This window comes from Homo sapiens, chromosome 3, assembly GCF_000001405.40.
Source record: "Homo sapiens chromosome 3, GRCh38.p14 Primary Assembly".
Lineage (NCBI taxonomy): Eukaryota > Metazoa > Chordata > Mammalia > Primates > Hominidae > Homo > Homo sapiens.
In genome coordinates, this window is record NC_000003.12 from 153,088,508 (window position 1) to 153,096,353 (window position 7,846).

Below are 7,846 nucleotides of genomic sequence, written 5' to 3' on the forward strand. Positions count from 1 at the left end.
TAGCCCAGTGACTCAAGTAAGTCTAAAGTTGGTTTTTCCCCAGTACTCTCATTCTCTTAGCCTTTAAAAGTTCACATTCATCACTAAAAACAATAAAATCTCCTTTTGATTAGAGGAACTATTTTCTATTTTTCTTATCACCAGATTGAAGGTAAAATACATATTTTCCATGTGATTTGCTGTCACATCACAGAAGTATAAACTGTGCTAAGGATTACTGCATACATACATGGAAAGCCGTTAATTTCAACTGTCGCTTTATACATAAAAATCTGATAATATTACTGTAATCAGAACACTTTCTTTTCCTTACTTATTTTTTGAAATTATACTTTAAGTTCTGGGGTACATGTGCCCAACGTGCAGGTTTGTTACATAAGTATACATATGCCATGTTGGTTTTCTGCACCCATCAACTCGTCATTTACATTAGGTATTTCTCCTAATGCTATCCCTCCCCCAGCCCCCGACTCCCCAACAGGCCCTGGTGTGTGATGTTCCCCTCCCTGTGTCCATGTGTTCTCATTGTTCAACTCCCACTTACGACATTTTCCTTACTTACTAAAAAAACAACTGGGTATAGTGGCTCATGCCTGTAATCCCAGCACTTTGGCAGGCCAAGGTGAGTGGATCACGTGAGGTCAAGAGTTCAAGACAAGCCTGGCCAACATGATGAAACCCCATCTCTACTAAAAACACAAAAATTAGCCAGGACTGTTGGCGCGCACCTGTAATCTCAGCTACTCGGGAAGCTGAAGCATGAGAATCACTTGAACCCAGGAGGTGAAGGTTGCAGTGAGCTGAGATGAGTGAGCCACTGCACTCCAGCCTGGGTGAAAGAGTGAGACTCCATCTCAAAAAATAAATAAATAAAATTAAAAAATAAAGAAATGTGTAGCTATGCATATATATCTCTCTACACCAGATTCTGCTGATGCAAAGCTACAGATGAACTCTTGTTTTTTACATACTATTGGTGATTTCTCTGTCTCTAATTGTAAAATAGAATCAATAGATTTATAGGGGAAATGACCCATAATTTAAAGAGAATCCAAACTGTATACATTAAAATGTTTGAAGACCAGTAACACTGAAGTTCATTCACTTCAAAGCTGAACACTCAAATGCATCCCTTCTCCCTTGGCTCCAGTGTGACAGCCTAAGGACTGTCTCCCTTCCCCAACACCCAAGGAACCCACCTTGACAATTAAATCATATGGCCTTCTAATGACTAAGGCCATGTGCTGCCAAGACTTTGCAACATTTTAACAAATGAAATTCACTGCCTGGGTTGTACCAAATTGTGCTGAATTGCCAGTTTCTGAAGTTTCAATTTAATTTGAATCTCCAGTTTCAACTTAATTTGAATCTCCCGGCTAAAATGATTTTGTTAGAATAAACAAGATAAACCGGGTGTGGTGGTTCACACCTGTAATCTCAGCACTTTGGGAGGTCAAGATGGGTGGATCACTTGAGGTCAGGAGTTTGAGGCCAGCCTGGCCAACATGGTGAAACCCCGTGTCTACTAAAAATACAGAAATTAGCCAGGCATGGTGGCACATGACTGTAGTCCCAGCTACTCTAGAAGCTGACGCACAAGAATCGCTTGAACCCAGGAGGCAAAGTTGCAGTGAACCGAGATCACGCCACTGCACTACAGCCTAGGTGACAGAAAGACTCCGTCTCCAAAAAAAAAAAAAAAAAAGAATAAACAAGATATGCTAATACAACCGTGTATAACCCTGTAAAACCCATTAGGATTCCTGGGAACGAAACAGTTGTTGTTTTAATACGTATATTTCTATTTAGCCAAATTAAAATATCTCAGAGCTTAAAGACAAGGCATGAATTAAATTAATAAAATCATAAATAGTTTCAATAACAAAATATTATTTTATTTTATTTCTGTTTTTTTCTCCACAGAGTAAGTTCAACAAAATATTATTTTATTTTATTTATTTATTTTTGAGATGGAGTTTCACTCTTATTGCCCAGGCTGAAGTCCAATGGCACGATCTCGGCTCACTGAAACCTCCACCTCCCGGGTTCAAGTGATTCTCCCATCTCAGCTGGGATTACAGTCACCTGCCATCATGCCCTGCCAATTTTTATTAGTGCAGACGGGGTTTCACTATGTTGGCCAGGCTGGTTTTGAACTCCTGACCTCAGGTGATTCACCCACCTCGGCCTCCCAGAGTGCTGGGATTACAGGCGTGAGCCACCGCACCTGGCCTCAACTAAATATTATTTTAAAGTGTCCAAAAAAAAAGTCAGAAATCCAGATTCTATACCTGCTTCAGTCAGTAATTGGCCATGTGACCTCCAGCAGATAACAATCCCTCAGGCTTTCAATTTCCACAATAGAAAACAAAGAGCATATAATTAAATGTACAGAATATTAGGGACAGGAAGACTGTAATAAAAATCTAGTGGTTCCCAACTTGGAGTTCTTGGGTCAGCCAAGTTAATGATGCTTTTTCAATGGATAACAATGAGCTATTTTCCCTACAGGGGTTTCTCCAGTGGCCCCCTTGCAAAAGGTACCAGGTTGCCGAGGGAAGAAAGGAATCTTAATATGAAAGCAAAAAAAATCACTCACAAACTAACCACTTACCAAAAAACAACCCCACCCCATTTCCAGATTCACACTAGATTCAGACTTTTTGGTTTCAGTGTCTTTGTTCTTTTTGGCAGTCACCTGATGCTTTCAGTCTTTCAACTACATAATGCAAATACAGCACAAAAATCAACTGCAAATTGAAATCAAGGATCCTGGGCAACAATGATAGGCCTACATAATTGGATTAAGGGAACCTTTGAATCCTGCCTATTTTGTGCTGCTCCCCCTACCTGCTAAGTAATCCTCCTCTGTGAATTTGCAGAGAAAGTTAAATGTGAGGAGAAGGTTTGTGGGAAAAATTACACCAAAATAAAACAAAACGACATTCTTGTTACTCTTGTTATAGTTCTATGTAGCCTTTAGGTACAGATATACCCTTAGCTGCAAGCCTAACCAAGTAAACTTATTTTCATAATTTTAAGCTTTCAAGGCAGTGACCCTTGTTTTGCATTAACTCACTTTAAGTGGCCCTTTTCTGGAACCAATTATCCTCACATAATCAGCACTGCCTATATTTTAAAATGCCTGATGGAAATAATAAATTTAACCACAGTCAATCTCCACAGGTGAACTAAAGTATCAAATTTCTTTGGCTTTGGCCAACAGTATATGCACCAGGTGTGGTACTCCAAGATATCTTACTCTGATCAGAGGTAATGATTAATATGTTTCATTAACTAAAATCTGAGAAAGGCTTTATTAGTCATTAGATGCAATTTGGTTAGCAAAATTTTTAAAATATAGGACCCATGGTGAGTGAATAATAAAAATGCTCTTTAATATGAATTGATTGGGATTTGACAAAATGCCCCAACCTTTAAATTTCAGAGAAGCAGAAACTGAGGCCAAATGAGGTTGCAACTTTTCAAAATCCCCATCCAACTCTGAATTTTTATTTGTCTAGTCAATCTATGCCACATTCCTAAGCCCTCCATACATTACAAGGTTTAATAAATCTCACTGGTGATGAATATATTCAACCTCAATTCCTAGTGGTTCAAGTAAAATCCATTTCCTCTGTAGGTAAATTCCATTCCATCGTACCTTAGGAAAGTCACTGATTCATTAAAACAATCCCATGGCTTCTGTTATAATGGGCTATGTTCAGGCTTGGTTACCTTAACTCAGTGATCTCTGCTAGTAAAACACACTTTTAAAAACATTTGCAACACATGCATTAAATTCCCTTCATAGAACATGTGGCTTTAAATAATGAGGAAAAAAAGAAAAGAGTTTGGCAAAAGCATTTTGTTTTCTGCCAAACCCAGTATGCTGGGTAAAATAGTTTATGAAATTTAACTAAGGCTAAAGCACTGGTTCCTGCTTTTCTCTCTGAATTATTTGTCCTCCTTGAAGACAAAGCCTTTCTTAATTTATATTTAGATTCTCAAGGATGCTTTCTGTAGTTTCTTTCCATTTTCCAGGAAGATGAAAAAGAATCTTAATTGAAACCTAAAAATAAGTAAAATATTCACTTAAATGATTTCATATTTATTATTGTTAAGGGTCTATTTGAAACTGCCAGATGATTAATATATTGTTTTTTTCTGAGTCATCTTAATATATCCACAGAAAACTAAATATTAAAATTAAAGAAAAAGAATCTCCTGAAATGTTGCTGTGACCTCAGCCACTTCGTGTTTTTCGTTGTTTTTTTGTTTTTGTTTGTTCATTTGTTTGTTTCAGACGGAGTTTCGCTCTTGTTGCCCAGGCCGGAGTGCAATGGCACAATCTCGGCTCATCGTAACCTCCGCCTCCCGGGTTCAAGAGATTCTCCTGCCTCAGCCTCCCAAGTAGCTGGAATTACAGGCATCCACCCCCAGGCCCGGCTAATTTTTTGTATTTTTAGTAGAGACGGGGTTTCATCATGTTGGCCAGGCTGGTCGCAAACTCCTGACCTCAGGTGATCCACCCGCCTCAGCCTCCCAGAGTGCTGGGATTTACAGGCGTGAGCCACTATGCGTGGCCGAACTCAGTCACTTGGATTAGACACAACTCTTGAATTCTATCTGACCCCGAAGGCCTTGGATGGATGGGAAAGACTGGCTCCTCCCCAACAAATAAGCTACCTACCGTCTTATAATGAAAGCAAACCTCCAGCCCAATTTTGCCATACAAACAGACATTTATTTAACAAGCACTTACTAACAAGCAGGCTGAAAAACAGTTCTTACGACCTGTTCTGTGAAACTTGACAACATGCCAGCTCTGTTTTTTGTTTTTTTTTTGAGATGGAGTCTTGCTCTGTCGCCCAGGCTGGAGTGCAGTGGCGCAATCTCCGCTCACTGCAAGCTCGGCCTCCTGGGTTCACGCTATTCTCCTGCCTCAGCTCTCTGTTTTTGGGTATTCTGCATGAAAGTTTACTGGACATAGATAAAACAATAATCTACAGGCAAGATTTTGTGCTCCCCAGTTTGTCTTGGACAGTCAGTAATCCTCAGAATCAAAGAATAGACACAGAATTGTCTAGGGGTCCAGTCTTAGGTTGCTTCCATACTGCACAGGTTTTAGGCCTTACTGGATTCATGTAAGGGTAGAAAATGTATCCAAAATACTTTAGCAATCCATGAATACATTTAAAGTCACCAATGACTTTACATTTTCTAACATTCATTATGTCTATAAATAAACCATGAATTTCCCCCAGATAAAAACCACTTCTGACATTTCATATGCTAATTAGTCAAGTCTCAGGTATTGAGATGCAGATAGCTGAAGCATTTGTATTAGTTAACTCCAAAAAGTGGCATTTTCTGATCAATTGCTTGTTGACCATCTCTGGAATCTCCACAAAAGCCACTGACTGCCCCTTGTTTTGAAGCTGAAACTAACAGTAATGAACACATTCATGATATTATACTGTCTATGCTGGAGCATTTAAAAATAGATTACAAACATCATAACCAAGGCTGCTTTATTATTTGCCATTTTGAGATAGCATTATAGCAGTTACCAGTGAAATAACAAAAGGAAATTCTGTTTAGAATCCTTTTTGATTGCATTTACATTTATTGCATGTTTTCTTAGTTTGGAGAGTTAACTTTTATTTCTCAATATATGTCATTTTATCATCAACCTTTATCAGTATGAATTGGTAAATAAATGGTAGAAGACTTAAGTAGTTAATAGGCTGCTATGTTGAACTTGAAGTTAATTATATTTTCCTTTAATTTTTGCTGATTTAAAGCACTCACAGATAGAGATGGTCCTTTAAACAAGACGGTCTTTAAAGGAAAAAGAATGTTACTGTGCTTTACTTTCCCTTTTTAATGCTAGTTGCTAAGCATTAGAATTGTGAAAACTATTTTTAAATGTAAAAGCACTTTCATTATCTTCCTCTTTTAAATTCATATGTACACAGAGGCATCTACTGAAACAGTGAACAGGATTTGACACTGAGTCAGGAGAAATAATCATTATGGCCAATCTTCTAAAGACGTGTATTTCAAACTGGCATTCCAGAAAAACTAGGAGAGCCAGATAGGAATGATTTAAATGCTATTGTTGGCCAGCAGTTATTCACTCCTGTAATCCCAGCACTTTAGGAGGCTGAGGCAAGAGGATGACTTGAGACTAGGAGTTCAAGACCAGCCTGGGCACCACAATGAGACCCTGTCTTTACAAAAAATAAAAATATTAGCCAGGTGTGGTGGCACATGCCTGTAGTCCCAGCTGCTTGGGAGGATTTCTTGAGGCCAAGATTTCAAGTTTACAGTGAGCTATGATTGTGCCACTGTACTTCAACCTGGGCAACAGAGTGATCTCTAAATAAATCTCTAAATAAATAAACAAATAATAAATGTTATTGTCCATTAAGTCTACAGCGTTAGGGGAAGTAAACTGACATTTGCAAAGTCATTATGTGTCAAGCACTGTTTGAAGTACTTTATATGCACTTTTTAATAAATACATTCACAATAATCCTATTAGGGATGGAAAGAGTTTGTAATTGTTAGAAGAACAAGTCATGAAGAAAGACCTCAGTTCCAGTCTTAGCCCTACCATGCTATCTCTGAGATCATTGCCAAATTATTTTATTTCTCTCAGCCACAGTTTCATCATCGGTAAATAATACTATTTATCTCATGGGGCTGGAGTGTGTATATATATGTGTGTGTTAATGGCTGGCTAAAAGAAAAACTTTTTTTGTACCTACAACACTTCTGACACCAAGTGTGTGGGCTTTTCCACATCAAGCAATTCTCCAGTTCTCCGTAACACCAACTAGGTGTCCCACAATTTAACCTGGATTCCCACAGGATTGCCCACCACTTCAGGTGCTACTTGTGAGTAGTGATTCTCCAGGTTACACACAGTTCTGCCTGATTTGGCTACAAATTAGAGTTACCACAACCCCCTCCTCAAGTGCAATAATTTCTCATAACAACTCACAGAACTCAAACACTTTACTTACTATTACCAGTTTATTATGAAAGATACAACTCCAGAACAGCCAAATGGGAGAAAGGCATAGGACAAGGTATGCAGGGAGGGGCACGGCACTTCCATGCCTTTTCTGGGTGTGCCACCTTCCCAGCACCTCCCTGTGTTCACCCCCTGGGAAACTCTTGGAACCTTATTATATGGGGTTTTGATGAAGGTTTCATTGTGTAGGCAGAATTGATTAAGTCATTGGTTATTGGTGATAGAGGCTGGCTCTATCCCCAGCCTCTCTCCTCTCCAGAGATCTGGGGATGGGCCTAAATGTCCTGTTTTTTGTTTTGTTTTTGTTTTTTGTTTTTTGGTTTTTTTTAGATGGATTGTCTTTCTGTCACCCAGGCAAGAGTGCAGTGTGATATGATCTCAGCTCACTGCAACCTCCATCTCCTGGGTTTAAGCGATTCTCCTGCCTCAGCCTTCCTAGTAGCTGGGACTACAGGTGCACGCCACCATGCCCGGCTAACTTTTGTATTTTTAGTAGAGACGGGGTTTCACCATATTGGACAGGCTGGTCTCGAACTCCTGACCTCAGGTGATCTGCCTGCCTCAGCCTACCACAGTGCTGGGATTACAGGCATTAGCCATCGCGCCCCGCTAGCCTGATAATTTTAATCCTCCAATCATGTTGTTGGTCCCTCTGGCAACCAGCCTCCATCCGCCAAGAGTCACTACATTAGCATAAACTCAGGTATGGTTGAAAGAGGCTTATTATGAATAACCAAAAAGCTCCTCTTACCCTAACCATTCTGGAAACTCCAAGGGTTTTAGAAGCTACTGTTCCAGAAA

General features: G+C 39.3%; 1 annotated feature.

Annotated features, from left to right (window-relative positions):
- Positions 5,072-5,626: an enhancer, noted in NCBI's record as "NANOG hESC enhancer chr3:152811368-152811922 (GRCh37/hg19 assembly coordinates)". NCBI's record gives its function as "activates a minimal SCP1, AML or CMV promoter by ChIP-STARR-seq in primed H9 embryonic stem cells {active_cell/tissue: H9 hESC(primed)}" and the evidence as "EXISTENCE:reporter gene assay evidence [ECO:0000049][PMID:30033119]".